General features: G+C 60.8%; 1 protein-coding gene across 9 annotated transcripts in view, besides 2 other annotated features; it reads right to left on the bottom strand.

The window, feature by feature from the left end:
* The window catches only part of GRIN1 (glutamate ionotropic receptor NMDA type subunit 1), a 29,603-nt gene extending 16,430 nt beyond the window's left edge, over positions 1 to 13,173 (bottom strand). For 5 of the 9 annotated variants that reach the window (NM_001437330.1, NM_001185090.2, NM_001437331.1 and 2 more), the window contains exons 1-5: positions 12,583 to 13,173; positions 10,180 to 10,314; positions 6,425 to 6,601; positions 4,113 to 4,175; positions 3,218 to 3,318 (exon numbers count right to left, since the gene is read on the bottom strand). In NM_001437330.1, the coding sequence (NP_001424259.1) occupies positions 3,218 to 3,318; positions 4,113 to 4,175; positions 6,425 to 6,601; positions 10,180 to 10,314; positions 12,583 to 12,840 (734 nt within the window). In that variant the 5' untranslated portion in view covers positions 12,841 to 13,173. The remainder of the gene's footprint in view (positions 1 to 3,217; positions 3,319 to 4,112; positions 4,176 to 6,424; positions 6,602 to 10,179; positions 10,315 to 12,582) is intronic. The other 4 variants (NM_007327.4, XM_005266071.4, NM_021569.4 and 1 more) reach the window with 1 other exon arrangement.
* Positions 577 to 896: an enhancer, noted in NCBI's record as "active region_29346". NCBI's record gives its function as "activates an Ori minimal core promoter by ATAC-STARR-seq in GM12878 lymphoblastoid cells {active_cell/tissue: GM12878}" and the evidence as "EXISTENCE:reporter gene assay evidence [ECO:0000049][PMID:35858748]".
* Positions 13,336 to 13,630: a silencer, noted in NCBI's record as "tiled region #8071; K562 Repressive non-DNase unmatched - State 20:ReprD". NCBI's record gives its function as "represses a minimal TATA promoter and a strong SV40 promoter by Sharpr-MPRA in K562 cells {active_cell/tissue: K562}" and the evidence as "EXISTENCE:reporter gene assay evidence [ECO:0000049][PMID:27701403]".

Here is a 17,335-nt window from a genome sequence, read left to right as displayed (position 1 = left end):
TCCATTTGTTCACCTGCCCATCCATCCTTTTATCCCATCACAGCTACAGAATTTCTCTCAAGCTCTGTGATGAGTAAGGGAAGTGTAAACAATTCAGAAAATAACAGAAGAGGCCACAAGTGGCTGGGCACGGTGGCTCACTCCTGTAATCCCAGCACTTTGGGAGGCCGAGGCGGGCAGATCATGAGGCCAGAAGATTGAGGCCATCCTGGCTGACATGGTGAAACCCCGTCTCTACTAAAAATACAAAAAAGTAGCAGGGCGTGGTGGCAGGGGCCTGTAGTCCCAGCTACTTGGGAGGCTGAGGCAGGAGAATGGCGTGAGCCCGGGAGGTGGAGCTTGCAATGAGCCGAGATCGAGCCACTGCACTCCAGCCTGGGTGACAGAGTGAGACTCCATCTCAAAGAAAAAAAAAAAAAAAAAAAAAGAGGCCACAAGTTCGAGACCAGTCTGGCCAACATGGTGAAACCCCGTCTCTACTAAAAATACAAAAATTAGCCGGGTGTGGTGGCTTGTGCCTGTAGTCCCAGCTACTCGGGAGGCTGAGGCAGGAGAATCGCTTGAACCCAGGAGGCAGAGGTTGCAGTGAGCTGAGATTGTACTACTGCACTCCAGCCTGGGTGACAAAGCAAGACTCCCTCTCAAAACAACGAAAAAGGAAATTAACTTCTGAGAGTCTGGCGGGGCTTTCTCTAAGAGGGGCTTTTTCTGGGCGGGGCTTTTTCTGGTAGGGGCTTTCACTGGGTGGGGCTTTCCCTGGGTGGCACGTTTCTGGGTGGGGCTTTCTCTGAGTGGGAATTTCTCTAAGTGGGAATTTCTCTGGGTGAAGCTTTCCCTGGGCGGGGCTTTCCCTGGGTGGGGCTTTCTTCTGGGTTGGGCTTTCTCTGGGCTGGTCTTTTTTCTGGGTGGAGTTTTCCCTGGGCGGGTCTTTTTCTGGGCTGGGCTTTCCCTGGGTGGGGCTTTTTTTCTGGGCGGGGCTTTCCCTGGGCGGAGCTTTCCCTGGGCGGAGCTTTTATCTGGCCAGAGCTTTTTCCTGGGCGGGTCTTTTTTTCTGGGAGGGGCTTTCCCTGGGCTGGTCTTTTTTCTGGGCAGGGCTTTCACCAGGCGCGACTTTTTTCTGGGCGGGACTTTTTTCTGGGCGGGTCTTTCCCTGGGCGGGGCTTTCCCTGGGCGGGACTTTTTCTGGGCAGGGCTTTCCCCGGGCGCGACTTTTTTCTGGGCGGGGCTTTCCCTGGGCGGGTTTTTTTTCTGGGCGGGGCTTTCCCTGGGCGGGACTTTTTCTGGGCGGGGCTTTCCCTGGGCGGGTCTTTTATCTGGGCAGAGTTTTCCCTGGGCGGGTCTTTTCTCTGGGCTGGGCTTTCCCTGGGCGGGTCTTTTTCTGGGTGGGGCTTTCCCTGGGCGAGGCTTTCGCTGGGCAGGGCTTTTATCTGGGCGGGGCTTTTTTATGGGCGGGGCTTTCCCTGGGCTGAGCTTTTATCTGGCCAGAGCTTTTCCTGGGCGGGTCTTTTCTGGGCGGGGCTTTCCCTGGGCGGTCTTTTTTCTGGGCAGGGCTTTCCTTGGGCTGGTCTTTTTTCTGGGCGGGGCTTTCCCTGGGCGGGCTTTTATCTGGGCAGAGCTTTCCCTGGGCAGGTCTTTTTTTCTGGGCGGGGCTTTCCCTGGGCGGAGCTTTCCTTGGGCTGGTCTTTTTTCTGGGCGGGGCTTTCCCTGGGCGGGCTTTTATCTGGGCGGAGCTTTCCCTGGGTGGGGCTTTCCCTGGGCAGGTCTTTTTTCTGGGCTGGGCTTTCCTTTGGCGGGTCTTTTTCTGGGCGGGGCTTTTATCTGGGCGGAGACTTCTCTTGGCGGATCTTTTTTTCTGGGCGGGGCTTTCCCTGGGCGGGCTTTTATCTGGGTGGAGCTTTCCCTGGGTGGGGCTTTCCCTGGGAGGACCTTTTTTCTGGGCGGGGCTTTCCCTGGGCAGGTCTTTTTCTGGGCGGAGCTTTCCCTTGGCGGGTCTTTTTTTCTGGGCGGGTCTTTCCCTGGGCGGGGCATTCCTTCTTTGGGACCTGTGCATACCCTTGGGACTTTGCCTGGTCACGTCTTTAAAAATCTTTTTTCCTGGAGCCCAGGCCAACCCTCCCTGGGGCTTGCAGTTGGATGAGTGGAGTGGACAAGTGACCTGTGAGCTTAAAGCCGAGTGCAGGGGGCGTAATGGGGGACGATTAGTGCCTTTTTATAGCAGCTGCAGGAGGAGCATGTAAGGCCCCGTGGGCAGCTCTAAGCAACAACCCTACCTTGGGCTGGGGAGATTCCTGCCTTCTAGTCCGAGGAGCCCTGGCTGGCCCCACCCTGCGTTCTGCCCTGGTGAGGGGGCTGCATCTGTCTCCGTGCTAGAGGGTCATTTGATGGACCGTGGAAATGGTGGTCTGCCCTGGGACTGAGAGTGTCGCCGGCTCTTTCCCATATGCAGGGCTGGAGGGCTGGGCTGTGTTCCTCCGGGTGTTTCACTGCTGTTTTGCTCCGCTCTGTTGGAGCCTAGCAGAGCTTTTAGGTCAGGGACAGTGGGGTTTTGGCTGTCCCATGGGGCAAGGCTCCTCACCCTGCCCTTCCCCACTCTTGCTTTTCCTATTCCCAGTCACCCAGGCTTTTCCTTCCCGGGAGAACCTAGCCATTTGCAAATAGGGAGCTTTTTACAGTGGGCTCCACCCCAAGGTTGCTCTGTGGCACCGGACCTGTCCAGAGCAGCTTGATTTCCCGGGTACCTAACTGATTTCCCCCTAAGCTACTGCTGCAGCTGTTGCAATCCTTCAGTTGGGAAATCTGGCCCTCTCCCTGCTGTGGGCCTTTTCGCCTGGCACACCTGCACATCACTTCCCTGGGCCTAGTCCCTGGCCCCAGGCCTGGGCCTTGTTTGCACAGGTTTGCCCCCTTGAGTTGCGGGGCTTCCCAAGGGCAGGGTCTCTTCCATATCCCTCTCCCACAGCCCAGCTCAGGGCAGCAGCAGCATGTGACTGTGGAATGGGGAAGGGCCCAGGAAGGGAGGGACAGATGGAGGGTGTCACATCAGCCATGCCGATAGGAGTGTGGGTGCGGGTGGGGGTGGGGGTGGCTGTCCTTGGTGAAGGTGCTTTGGAAGCTGAAGGTCACTGTGCCCAACAATGTCCCAGCTCTGGCTCAGATGGCGGGTACTTGGCTCAGGTACCATCCTGTGTGGAGTGTGTAGGGCCCTGCCCAGCCTCACCTGGCAGAAAGGATGATGACCCGGGCCTCCAGCTCTTTCGCCTCCATCAGCAGGGCCGTCACGTTCTTGGTCCCTGGGTCAAACTGCAGCACCTTCTCTGCCTGCGGTGTGAGCAAGAGTGTTAGCAGGCGGCTGGGGCAGGGGACATAGCGCCTCAGGGGTGAGAGTTGGGCCGGAGCCGCTGGGAACCCCGAGGCAGCTTAGCTAGGGCTGCCATGGTCTGCGCCTGCCACCTGCGCCTCCGCCTGCCTTCCTCAGTCCTTGCCTGGCCTGGCCTCGCCTCTCCGGTCCTGTCCTGTCTTCAGCCTGCGCGCTCACCTGTGCTCGTTCTGTGCTCTCTCTGCTCTCTCTGGATCTCTCTCTCCACCTCACTCCTGTCCTCATCTTTGCACTGAGCATGCAAGCTGAAGTGGACCCAGACTCAGGAGGCGTGCAGCGGACGGGAAACAGAAAAGAGTTTTGGAATGCAACCAGGAAAAGAGATGGGGCTGACTTTTCCAAAACCATGGGAGGTCCTCTGAGGTTTGATTCCGCAGGCCCCTGAGGAGCAGCCCGGCCCCGGCGAGTGGGTGGCCAGGCGGGCGGGCTCCCTCCCGGGTTCCACGAGGAAACCCTTGGGGTCTCGGAGATTCGCATGCACTTCCCGGAGAGCAGCTCCTCCTGCAGCCGCGCCTGCCTCGAGGGTGCAGGCTAGGGTCACGGCGGGTGGGCCTCAGGCACCCACGCCGCCACGCCTGCCCTCTCCTGCCTGCCCTCTCCTGCCTGCTGCCGGCTGCCTCTCCTCATTGCTTGGGCCTGCGGCTCGGCGGCTGGGCCAGACAGTGGCCCTAGTGGCCGAGGCGCCGAGGCCAGGGCTCCCTAGCCGTGGGTGGCGTGCACGTCCATGCATATATACCTTGGGTCCGCGCTTGTTGTCATAGGACAGTTGGTCGAGGTTTTCATAGTTCCTTTTTTTACTCTGATGAATAATGTGCACAGAGAAAATATGCAGACACAGAAGAAGATTATAAACGGTTGAAAATGACGGCGCTAAAGCAATCACACCACCTCCTCGGCACGTCTGCAGACGGGCTCCTACCTGGAGCTCGCAAACACCGAGGCCCGGGGCGGGGCTGGGGGCCGGGGTGGAGCTGGGGGTGAGGGTCGTAGGGGCGGGGCCGTGGAGGCTCCCTGCCACGAAGCTGTGCTCTTGGAAACGGTCGCTCTCGGGAGAAAAGGAGGCCCTGTCCGCGTCCACCGTTCGGAGGGAGCCCCACCTGCCGCCCCCACCCTGCCGTGCACCTGCTGTGTGGCCCCAGCAGTGCCCACTCCAACCTGTGTCAGTCCTGAGTGGGAGGTGAGCAGCCCCCCCGGGGCCTGTCCCCATGTCCCTCCCCCTCCCTCTCCTTGGTCTCCCTCTGCCTCTCAAGAGACCGAGGTATCCTCACTAACTGGGGTGCCCACGCCCTTCGGCTCGCATATGCGCCCAAGAGGGTGTGTGTGCGTTATGTGCGCCTGCAGGGGTGGCATGCGCCTGTGGGTGTCAGCATGGGAGGGTTAGTCCACAAAGGCCTGTGAAGGTTGGGGAAGGGCCAGATGGTCTGAGCATGCTTGTGTGTGTGCATGTGTGCATGTGCGTGTGTGCGTGCTTGTGTGTGCGTGTGTGCATGTGTGTGCGTGTGCATGTGTGCATGTGTGTGCCTGTGCACGTGTGTGCGTGTGTGCATGTGTGTCTGTGCTGGCTGGCGCAAGTAAGGGTGAGCATGCACATGAGGAGCGCACCTGAGCGTGTGTCCAGGTGTGTGTGTGAGGAGCGCACCTGTGCGTGTCCAGGTGTGTGTGTGAGGAGCGCACCTGAGTACGTGTCCAGGTGTGTGTGTGGCGCTGGAGCTGCATGGAGGCAAGCCTGAGCCTGTGGCCAGAGGTGTGGAGTGTGATGGGAATGTGTGCATGCACCTGTGAGTGAAAGCAGGCAGTTGGGTGCGCAGGGGTGAGTGTGTGATGGGAGTCCGTGGCCGTGGGTGGACATGCCAGAAGGTGAGGGGCCTGTCGAGCGCTGGGGTGAGGGGCCTGTCGGGTGCTGGGGGGGAGGGGCCTGTCGGGCGCTGGGGGGAGGGGCCTGTCGGGCACTGGGGTGAGGGGCACTGTCTTGGGTGGGGCCCTTGGTGCCCATGCCCCTCCCCCCCAAGACTCAGCAGACCCCCCACGACAGTACTCCCAGGACCCTCTGGTCTGCCCCTGGCTTTACCCCCGACCCATGCCCTCTGGTCCCTCCCGGGGCCTGGGGTGCCTTGGGGGGTGCTAGGTTGGCCCTAAGTCCGATGAAGCCAGCTCTGACACGAAACATGCTCCCAGCCACCCATAGGTCTGGCCCTCCTCAGCCTGGGCCTCCTCCCACTGCTTGATCAGGAGCTGGCCCAGGTGCTGAGCACCCAGGGCTCCGGGGGTCTGTAGCCGAGAACCAGCTCTGCCCCAGACTGCAAATGGGAGTGGTAAGGAAGGGGAAAGGGGTCGCTCGGACCCCCCCAAATCCCAGCTCTGATCTCTCTGCAGCCCCACAGAGTGGACGCCTGGCTGTGTTGGGGGTCAGTGTGTCCTAGAACCAGGTGGCTAATGGGTCTTGGTGAGGAGTGCAGAGGGAGCCCTGTGGTGGGGGCAAGGAGGGGAGTGGAGCCCACAGGGGCGGTCCAGGCTGGGGGGCAGGTGTCTGTGGACAGGGCTTTGCTGAGCCATGAGGTGCAGAGCTTCAGGGGAGGCCACGCGGGGGAGGACAGGGAATGGGCCCAGCCAGGAGGGGACAGGCCTGCAGGGGCGGTATGTGGGGGTCGTGTACAGGGGAGACCTTGCCCAGAGGGAGGCTGCTGGGGACTCAGGACAGGGTGGGCGGGAAGGGTGACGAGTCCCAAGCCCGGCTGGGGCCTCCAGGGAGCGAGGGGCATGGGCAGGAGGAGGGGACGAGGGCGCTCGGCAGCGCGGGGCAGGGGTGTTTGCGGAGCTCCAGGTGGTCTGGCCCTCGCCCCGCAGGGACTGACACGAAGGAGATTTCGACTAATGGCAAAAGCGAGTGAAATGAGCCGAGGACAGGCTGGGGCGGGCGCTCGCCAGACGTGGTGGTGCTGACCATGCACGATGGAAAGAAGAGGGTGTCACACACGGAGCCACAGACACAAGGCGGCCCGTCCTGCACCTCGGCTCCGCCAGGCGCCCACCCGCGGCGCCGACCCTCACCTTGGACTCACGCTCCTCCAGCAGCGTCTCCAGGCGTTTCTGAGCCGCCCGGCCCTCGTGGTCGTCGCTGACCAGCAGGATGATGTGGTTCCAGCTGTAGACACGCATCATCTCAAACCACACGCTGGACTGGTGGGAGTAGGGCGGCACGGTGCGCAGGAAGCTCAGGTGGATGCTCTGCGGGAGGCGGGGGCACGGCGGGCTGAGGTGGACCCGCGGGGACCCGCCCTCCCACCCGCCTCCCACTGCCGGAACACCCGCCGGAGGCTGGGAACCCCCCTCCTCCCACCCCTGTCCCCACCCCCATGGGGACACGTTCTAGACCCTGGGACCCCCTCGTGTCTCCCACCCCGTCCCTACCACCCTGGGGACACTTTCTAGACCCTGGGACCCCCTCGTGTCTCCCACCCCTGTCCCCACCCCGCTGGGGACACTTTCTAGACTCTGGGACCCCCTCGTGTCTCCCATCCCATCCCTGCCACCCTGGGGACACTTTCTAGACCCTGGGACCCCCTCGTGTCTCCCACCCCTGTCCCTACCACCCTGGGGACACTTTCTGGACCCTGGGACCCCCTTCCTCTCACTCCTGTCCCCACCCCTCTGGGGACACTTTCTGGACCCTGGGACCCCCTTCCTCTCACTCCTGTCCCCACCCCTCTGGGGACACTTTCTGGACCCTGGGACCCCCTTCCTCTCACCCCGGTCCCCACACCCCTGGGGACACTTTCTAGACCCTGGGACCCCCTTCCTCTCACCCCGGTCCCCACCCCTCTGGGGACACTTTCTAGACCCTGGGACCCCCTTCCTCTCACCCCGGTCCCCACCCCTCTGGGGACACTTTCTGGACCCTGGGACCCCCTTCCTCTCACTCCTGTCCCCACCCCTCTGGGGACACTTTCTGGACCCTGGGACCCCCTTCCTCTCACTCCTGTCCCCACCCCTCTGGGGACACTTTCTGGACCCTGGGACCCCCTTCCTCTCACCCCGGTCCCCACACCCCTGGGGACACTTTCTAGACTCTGGGACCCCCTCGTGTCTCCCATCCCATCCCTGCCACCCTGGGGACACTTTCTAGACCCTGGGACCCCCTCGTGTCTCCCACCCCTGTCCCTACCACCCTGGGGACACTTTCTGGACCCTGGGACCCCCTTCCTCTCACTCCTGTCCCCACACCCCTGGGGACACTTTCTAGACCCTGGGACCCCCTCCTGTCTCCCACCCCTGTCCCCACCACCCTGGGGACACTTTTTTTTTTTTTTAAACAGTCTCGCACTGTTACCCAGGCTGGAGTGCAATCTCGGCTCACTGCAGGCTCCGCCTCCTGGGTTCACACCATTCTCCTGCCTCAGCCTCCCAAGTAGCTGAGACTACAGGCGCCCGCCACCACGCCCGGCTAATTTTTTTGTATTTTTAGTGGAGATGGGGTTTCACCGTATTAGCCAGGATGGTCTCGATCTCCTGACCTCGTGATCCGCCCGCCTCGGCCTCCCAAAGTGCTGGGATTACAGGCGTGAGCCACCGCGCCCGGCCAACCTGGGGACACTTTCTAGACACTGGGACCCCTCCTTTTTCCCACCCCTGTCCCCACCATCCTGGGGACACTTTTTAGACCCTGGGAACCTCTCTCCCACCCCGGCCTCTCCTCCCACATATAATCTCGGAAATGGAGGAGGTTTAGTGTTGGCCCCATAGCACCCTAAGGGACGTGGGTTTCTGTGGAATTGTGCCTGGGGTGAGCTCACCTCTTCCCCTGCAGCCCACCACCTTTGGACAAGCTGAGCTCAGGAAATTCTTGATGACACATAGCGCCTCGAAGATCCCCCTGGGGCTGCCCATAGAGTCCTCCCAAATTTAAACAACTCTATGTATGAAGAAGAATTCACTCTTGGGGCTAAAGGCCTCATCTCCCCAGGCGAGAGCGTGGTGCTTGCTTGCCCTGGCTTGCTTTTCCTGGCTTCAAGCTGCCACGGAGTGCCGTGGCATGGCCGGGAGTGGAGCAGGCTCTGCCCCCCTCTGCCTCAGTTCTCTGTGTCTGTCCAGGTAAGCCCTGGTTCCTTCAGTGTCCCTGTGGACTCTTGCTGATCTTGTGGTCCTCTGAGGCTTCCAGGTTATTTTTCACCTGCTCCCTCTTTGTGGCCTGGGGCAGTGCCTTGGGGTGCAAAAATGTCCCCTGCTTCTGTCTATCCACCTGGTGACGTGGTGGCAAGGCAGGCTGTGCTTGAGGTCTTGGACTAGCTCTGACCTGGCCTTGCCGGTTCATGTTTTGGGCACAGGTTGGTTGTAGTGTAGAGACTGTGGTAAGGCCAGGGTGCAGCTGTGAGCTGTGCCCCCTCCCTTTGGCCTGCTCTGGGCCAGGGGCATCCGTTTCCCCCGCCTTTCATTTGACCACTGGCTGCTTTCCTGGGTAAGGCCATCTTCTCTCCTTCACATGTGAGGAAACTGGTGCCCAGAGAGGCGAAGGAGGTCGTGCCTGAGGGCACAGGAATGAGACCCCCACCTTCCCATGGCCAGAGGTGAAGTCACCTGGGAGGAGCAGTTTGGGTGCCGAGGGGGCACGCCAGGGCTTTCAGAGCCTCAGGAAGGTGGCTGTTCCAGCCTCTGTCTCAGTTCCTGCCTCTGGGGCCTTCCATCCTCCCAGAAGAGCCTGGGCCTGGCTGGGGCGACCCCTGTGCTTTAAGGCAGTGTTACCAAGGACTGTGGACTCTGGGCAGGAGGAATTTGGAGAAGGTGGGGGACCCAGAAGCCTGGCTGCACAGCCCAGCCCTCTGGCTCCTCAGCGCTGGCACCAAACTGGATGTCCCCTGCCAAGTGGCCCTGCAGGTCTGTCTGCCAGTGGCCCCAGGTTGGTCAGCCTCTCAGTGCCCAGTTTGCATCCTGGGTAGACGGAGGGCTGTGTGACCTAGAGCAAGCCCCCATGGCTCTCTGGCTTGGAGATTCCTGCAAAACTGACTGGATGACCCTCCTCTCTTCCAGCTGATGTTCCAGGATTGGACAGAAGCCCTCCTCATAGCCTGTGGGCCAGGAGGGTCTGCAGGAGGCTAAGCCAAGGTGCCCTCAGCCCTAGAGGCTGGAAGCCCCCAGGCCAGCGCCCCCGACCCTGAGCTGCAACCACAGACATTGCTCTCCACCCATGCCTGCAGTGGGAAAGGCTGGCCCCACCACCCTGGCTGCGTGCACACCCCTTTCCTCCTGGAGCAACCCCCAGCTCTCCAAACTCCCCTTCAAAGTCCACCTGTCTAGAAAGCCTCCCAGCCATCCCTTCTCCTAGCCCACGGGCCCTCTCGTCCTGAGGGGGTGTCACTGGTGCCTGTGCCAGTGAGTGTGTGTGACTTTGTGCGAATCCATGGGTGTGTCAGTGTTCATGTGTGGGGAGGGTGAGCATAGCAGTGTAGCGTGTGGGTGCTGTATGAATGTGTGAGTGTGTGATGTGTGTGTGATGTGTGAGTGTGTGATGTGTGCCCCCTCCCTTTGGCCTGCTCTGGGCTGGGGGCACGTGCTGGGCTCCACGTGAGCCCTCTATGTGCAAGAGAGTGTGTATTGTGTGTGTAAGAGCACATGAGTGTGCATGTGAGCATGTTTGCAGATGTGTGAGTTGGACACGTGAGAGCGTGTGGACGTGCATGAATGTGGGGGAGCTGTGTGGCTGTTTGTGGTGTGTGAGTTCCATGTGAGCGGGTCGGCCCGCTGCTCCTGGAGTGGCCAGGCTGTGCCCTGGGGCCGAGGGCCGGAAGGCCTGGTCTGGCAGTCAGGCTTACCTTGTCCGAGTAGATGGACATGCGGGTGGTCAGCCCCAGCACGGGTATGCGGTAGAAGCCGGCTGTGTAGGAGACAGGGGTGGGAGTGAAGTGGTCGTTGGGGGTAGGTGGATGGCTAACTAGGATGGCGTAGACCTGTGGACACAGGAGACATGATCAGCTTGAGTCAGGGGTGAGCCAGGCACTGGGTTAGAGGCTGAGATCTGGAAGCAGCAGGGGCTGAACCCAGCAGGCTAAGGGGGGCTGGGGGCATGATTCGGGTACATGCTACATGCCCAGGCCCAGATGCACACATGCCCACAGGGCAGGGGAGGGAGACCCCACCCGGACCTCCCCTCACTCCTCTCACACTGCTGACTAGGGCCCTGCAGGTGTTGTGCTCAAGGGCCAGGTGAAGGACTGCCCTTGGGATGTCCTGGGGGCCTGGAGCACGGGACGCACCCAAGGTGGACCGGGGAGGATGGCTGGTCCTGCATCATGATGGCCTTGATTCTCAGAACCCACCCGTCCTTCCTGATGGGCCAGGGGTGGGGCCAGCCCACATCCCGAGACAGGGCGGGCAGCTCTGAAGGGTGGTACCGGACTTCAGGGGGAAGCAGCTAGGAGCTGCCAAAGAGGCCGAGATCCCTTTTGCTGGTGTCTCCAGGGGCAGGGCCTGTGACGGGCTCTGTCTGAACAACACCAAGCCCTTACTTTGAGTGCTGGCCTCATCCTCAAGGAAGGGAAGGGAGGCATTGGGGGTGCAGCCCAGCCTTCCTGCCCATGACCAAGGCCCCATGGGGCAGATCTAAAGCCAGCGGCTCAGCCCCCTGGAGCTGATGCCTCCCTCTCTCCCCAGCCTCCCAAGGCAGGGAGGCAGGCAGCTGGTGGTCCACACCACCTTCACACAGCAAGGACCTGCGTCTGTCCCCAAGTCTGCCTGTGCCTCTTAGAGCTTTGGCGAATGGGGGCGTGCACTGCATGGCCCCACGTGGCAGGACAGTACCTGGCCGGGGGTGTGTTCCGTGAGTGGTAGCTGCAGGCATTGCCTTTGCTGCAGAGGCCATGCCCACAGACAGACAGCAACATGGGCGTGAGTTGAAGCAATTCCCCAGGAATGGCCCCTCCTGGATTTCCTGAGTCCACCTTCCGTGTCCCTCCCCAGTCCCAGATGGAATATGTGACTGCAGCCACTGGCTACAGATGCATCCCCCCAGTCCCATCCCATGGTGTCCTGGGCTGGGGCACGGGGGTGGCTTGTGAAGTGGGGAGGGAGGATTTCTGAGAAAACTCTGGTGTGGGCCCTGCAGCTGCAGCTGTTTGAAGTGGTTCTCCCTCCCCCAGCTCTTGCTTCCAGCCTGCACCCAGAGGTGCTTGGCAAAGACCCGTAGGTCCGTGTGTGACCATGCAGGTGTTCACGCGTGTGCTAGGGTATGGTTATGTGCATCACATGCCCTGGCATGTCTGTTCGTGTACATGCGTGTGAATGACTGGAACCATGTGTGTAAATGTGCATGTTTGCACGTGCCTCTGGGAATGCATGCCAAGCCGTGTGTGGCACATGAGCAGGTGTCAATGGATCTGCATGTGTGCAGATGAGCATATGAAATTGATTGTGTGATGCTGAGGTGCATGAGTGTGTGCTAATGTAACATTTGGTGTGAGTGTGAGCATGTGTGTCCACAGATGTGGTGTGTCCATCAGGTAGGCACGTGTGAGCGGTGCTAGGCTGGATGTCTGTCTTGCCTCTTACATAAAGGGCTGCATTGCAGATCCTTGCAGCCTCATTGGAATTCAGCAGGCGCTCGGCCCAGGGGCGGACAGCTCCGACAGGCAAAATCCCAGGAGCCACGTCCTCCCCCGCAGCGCTGGCTGCCGACAGCTCCCATGCCCTGATGCCTCTCGCGTGTGCACCCCCACTCCCACCCCCACAAAGCGTCCTGCCGTGGCACCTGAGCCATTTCTCTTCCCAGGCGGACCCATCGGTAGGGGGAAGGGACGAAAGAAAGGGCAGGAGAACCTGGAAGCAGAAACAAAGATGGCCCCAGGCCCCGTCCTGTTTAAAGCTCTGCAGGGCGGGCATGTAGCTGGACAGGCGCTTCTACTCTCTTACCCGGAATGCCCACCCCCACACTGACACACTCCAGCCCCACGTCTACACACACCAGTCAGGGCCTGGAGCCCCAGGGGCCCTCTGAGGACCAGCCAAGGTGGCAGGTGACTGGTCTCAGGCCAAGATAGGGGAGCCAGCAGACCCTGGTGTTTGGTTCCTAGTGAGACGAGGCCTCCCGGAAGCAGCCAGCTGACTCTGGGGTGGTGTCTTACAGGGAGGAAGGGGGCACGGAAAGGATGGAATGAAACTGGGGGTGTGGGGTTGCAGGATGGAGGAGAGGGGAGGTGGGTGGCGGAGGTGGGGGAGGGCACCTGGCTGGAGATGAGGTCCTCGCACACCGACAGAGCCATCTGGATGGCGTTGGGCTTGTGCGTGACGGAGGTGGCATTGAGCTGAATCTTCCAGGAGCCGTGCCGCTTGTTGGCCTGGTTCACGGCCTCGCGGAACATCTGCTCGTGCTTCCGCGTGCTCAGCACCGCGCCAATGTTGACGATCTTGGGGTCGCACGCGGCACGGGCGACGGAGCAGGAGAACAGCAGGGCGAGCGTCAGCAGGCGCATGGTGCTCATGGGCTCGGGCCGCGGGCCTGGCTCTGCGCGGCGCGAACGCGGGGCCCTCGGCGCATCCCCCGCGGGGCTTCCGGGCCGTCCTGCGCTCGCCCGGCCCCGCGGGCTGCGGACGCCACGTCTCCCCCGGAGCGGCGGTCCCGGGACGTCGGCCGAGGGAAGGGGCGCTGAAGCGTGCGCGGGGGCTCGGGGCTCAGCCCCACGCGGCCGGCGCTGTCCGCGGTGCTGAAGCGGGGCCGGGCACAGCTCCGAGCGCCCGGCTTGGAAAGGGCCCGGCGGCGGCGGCGGCGGCTCCGCGGACGGCGCTGGTTCCGGTCCGGACGCTGCGGCGACTGCAGCAGCTGCAGAAACGCGAGCGGGGCCAACGTCTCCTGCCCCTCCCGCCGCCCCCGCTTCCCAACACGGAGGCGAAGGGGGCGCCTCCCGCGCCAGAGCGTGCGCCTGCGTTCGCGTGAGCGTGTGTGTCGGAGCGCGCGTGAGCCGGGGAGCGCGCGTGTGCGTGTGAGCGCGTGCCTGGAGGGGTCCTGGGACAGGGGCCTGTGCTGTCGGGGACCTGCAGGGAGCTCAGTTTGGAAACGTTAGAGGGGTCCGTGTCACCGCGTGCAGCCCGCACCCTTGCGTGCCTTTTAATAGGACCGAACGCGTCGTGCCCGCTTGTATGTGTGTGTGCGCGCAAGAGTCGTCACCCACAGTCAGCGATATTTCGGCTCCTGACTCTTGCAGACTGGAGCTCCAGAGGGGTGGGGGAGGCCCTAAGCCATGGCTCTGGGGGGCGCTCCCTTCAAGGTTCCCCTCCCCACAAGGTTCAGAAATGAGGGAGAGGCCCCATCTGCGTGGCCATGTAACTTGGGACCCCCCTCCTCGGGCTAAGAGGAATAGGGAGGGTGACCGTGGCTGCCGCATGTGCTCAGCCAGGCCTTCCGCGAGAGCCTGGAAACTGGACCCGCACTGACTGGGGCTGAGGTCGGACACCAGGAATCACTGGAGCGCCGCGAGGTGTGTTCGGGGCCAGCCGTTTCACACCCTCAGCTTCCGCTCCTCTCTCCCTCTCCAGCCCCCTCGCAATGCGCTCCCAGCGCCCCCTTTTCCAGAGCCTTACCCATCCCTCTGGTCCACACCACCCTGTCTTTGTCCCCCTCCACCCCTGGAGTGTGCGTGCCCCTCCCTAACTTGAAGGATGGCTGAAGCTCCGCCCCTGCCAGTGATGTCACCATTTCCAATAGCAACTGAGGATTCTGCAGACCTAACAGCAAACGCCCCCAATGGGACAAAACAGGGTCGTCACCACACCTCTGCTATGTGCAGCAGTGCAGCAAGGGAAGTCATGTGCCCACAGGGGTCACACTCTCTCTCCCGCTTGCCGTTCTCTCCATCAGCCGAACACTGGCACCAGGGACCCCCTGGAGCTGAGAGGAGGGGGAGGGGCTGTGGTGTTTGACAAGCTCCTCCTCTTGGCCCCTTCTCTCTCAATACAGGAAAATCTTTCCTTGGGGGATCACCTGCCCGTACCCTGCTGCAGACCCCGCCTCTCCCCGTTCGGGTTGAGGCACACGGGTCATCCGCCTCGGGGCCCTCACTCCTTCTGTTGGCTCTCAGGAGGGTGTGTGTGGGTGCTCAGGGGGACTGAGCTGGCCCTATCTCCAGGAGTTTGTGGCCCATCTCCAAACTTCCACCTCGGCAGGGCACAGTGGCTCATGCCTGTAATCTCAATACTTTGGGAGGCAAGGGCAGGTGGATCACCTAAGGTCAGGAGTTCGAGACCAGCCTGGCCAACATGGTGAAACCCTGTCTCTACTAAAAATACAAAAATTAGCCGGGCGTGGCGGCAGGCATTTGTAATCCCAGCTACTTGGGAGACTGAGGCAGGAGAATCGCTTGAATCTGGGAGGCGGATGTTGCAGTGAGCCAAGATCGCACCATTGCACTCCAGCCCGGGCGACAGAGCAACACTCCATCAAAAAAAAGAAAAAAAAAAGTATCCGCCTCAGGCAGGCCAGAGCCTGGCAGCTGCGTGGGGGTAGACCTGAGCCCAGACAGCGCCTCATCAGCGTGGAAGAAAGGGGTTGGAGGCTGCAGCAGAGGCCCTGGCTCCACCCACCCACCCCCACCCCGTGGGGTGCTGGAGCGACTCCCGCTGACCCTGGAGAGCTGATCGCTAAATGTTCAGACACCTGCCAGCAGCTGTTACAGTCAGGCTTCGAAATTGGCCACAGTGGGATTATCTCTGCTGCCACGGAATCATCAAACCCCACAAACCAGGGCTTTTTCTTTTCTACTCAGGGAGCTGGTCTGCCAGTGGGTCACTGCCCCACCGGACCGTATGTGCGTCCCCAAGCTTCTGTTCAAGACCCCTTGGCAGGTTGTCCATGATGGAGATGGGGTGGAGGCCGCGTCTCCAGGCCACAGCTCCTCCTGTGAGCGAGTCTTTCCTGGATTCTGCTCTGCATTTTCCCCCCGTGGGCTTCTTCCACAACCATGAGGGAGGGGGCAGTGGTACCACAACAGATGAGCCTGGACTCGGACCCCTCTGAGACCTGGTGAGACAAAGGCTGTGGGGAGGACCAGAGACCTGGGGCACTGCCCTGGGATGGGCCCGGGGCCAGCAGTCAGGCGCTGGGTGGGGAGGGAAGCGCTGTTCTACCCCGGGCCACTGTGGGACAGTCTCCCTCTGTGGAGATCCCCTTGCCCACTCTGACAGCTGCGGCCCCGGCGGGAGGCGGCTGCTCCTCCCTGACCCCAGCCTCGCGGTTCTAGTCAGGGCTGTCAACCCGGGTGCAGACGCGCCCTGGCCTCAGTCCATTGGCCGAGGGGTTGCCAATCAGGGCTCTCCCTAGGATTTTGGGCAGATCAGAAGCAGGGAAGGGACCCCGGCTCTACATCCTCTGCAGGTGAATCCCTGAGAACTGGGGCTCAAGAGCCACCTGCAGACACATTTCTGTCGAGAGGAAGCCTGCTTGAGAGGAGGAGGCAGACAGACAGGGGTGGGGCGGGCAGAAGCGTCTCCACCCATCGCAGCCAAGGCCGGCCAAGGGCGTGGAGGACAGGCCTGCTTCCCGTGCCAGCTCCTGGAGGGGCTGCCAGGCCACGCAGGGGAAACGGAGCTGGCCATCTCGGGCCTGGCCCCCGCTAAAGAGCTAGACTGGGGTCAGGACCTCTGCCCTGACCTGGGGGAGCCCAGGGACCCTCACAGAGGTATAGTCTCTGACACCCACGAGGCTTTCCCGCCAGCCCTTGTGCTGGACTGGCTCCCATACCTTCCTGCCTCCACAAAGTCCCTCCTCTCTCCCTGTCCTGACTTTCCAAATTCCACCTTTCCTGGTAGCCGTCTTCCCCATCACAGGATCCCCACAGATCCGACCGCAGGCAGCACCGCACCGCACGTTTACTCCACTAGGCACATTCACTGAGCACCTACCGTGTACCAGACGCTGTTCTAAGGGTGGGTATGTGGCAGTGCAAAGGCTGGACTTTCTGACTTCATGGAGCACAAACACATGAGCTCCTGAGACCATTCCACGTAGCGGCGCGTGGTCTCAAGAAACAGAATGCAGAATAAAAGGCAGAGTGTGGTGGAGCCGGTGGTGCTTTGAACACCACCCTGTTCGGCAGAAGATTGATTTCCCTCCAGGCATACATGGCCTGCACTTACAAATGGAACGTGGTAGAGGTAATGGTGCGTGACTCCCAGGTGAGGTCTAGAAAGAACACCTCCCAGCCGGGCGCGGCGGCTCCCACCTGTCATCCCAGCACTTTGGGAGGCCGAGATGGGAGGATCACCTGAGGTCAGGAGTTCGAGACCAGCCTGACCAACATGGTAAGACCCTGTCTCTACTAAAAATAAAAATAATATATATATATATATATTTTTTTTTGAGACAGAGTCTCACTCTGTTGCCCAGGCTGGAGTGCAGTGCTGCAATCTCGGCTCACTGCAAGCTCTGCTTCCTGGGTTCACGCCATTCTCCTTCCTCAGCCTCCCGAGTAGCTGGGACTATAGGCGCCCACCATCATGCCCGGCTAATTTTTGTATTTTTAGTGGAGACAGGGTTTCACCATATTGGCCAGGCTGGTCTCTTGGCCAGGCTGGTCTCGAACTCCTGACCTCATAATCCACCCCCCCCCCCGCCCCCGGCCTCCCAAAGTGCTGGGATTTCAGGCATGAGTCACCACACGCGGCCACAATATTGAATCTTCTAATCTGTGAACATAGGATCACTCCCCATTTTTTTAGGCTGTCTTTGCTTTCTCTCAGCAATGTTTTGTAGATTTTAATGTACAAGGTTTGCATTTATTTTCTTAATTTTAATCTAAAGTATTTTATTTTTCTATGCAATTGTGAATGAAGCTGTCTTCTTAATTTTATTTTCAGACCATTTATTGTTAATAAGTATAAATAAAATTGACAGTGAATGCAGGTCTTCTGGTCCTCCCTGTGATCTTTATGAACTTGTTCGTTAGTTGTTACTTCTGCTAGCTTGTTGTTGCTGCTCTTGATTCC

Source organism: Homo sapiens, chromosome 9, assembly GCF_000001405.40.
Source record: "Homo sapiens chromosome 9, GRCh38.p14 Primary Assembly".
Classification (NCBI taxonomy): domain Eukaryota; kingdom Metazoa; phylum Chordata; class Mammalia; order Primates; family Hominidae; genus Homo; species Homo sapiens.
The sequence above is the reverse complement of the archived record's forward strand: the minus strand, read 5'-3'. Positions and strand labels throughout refer to the sequence as shown.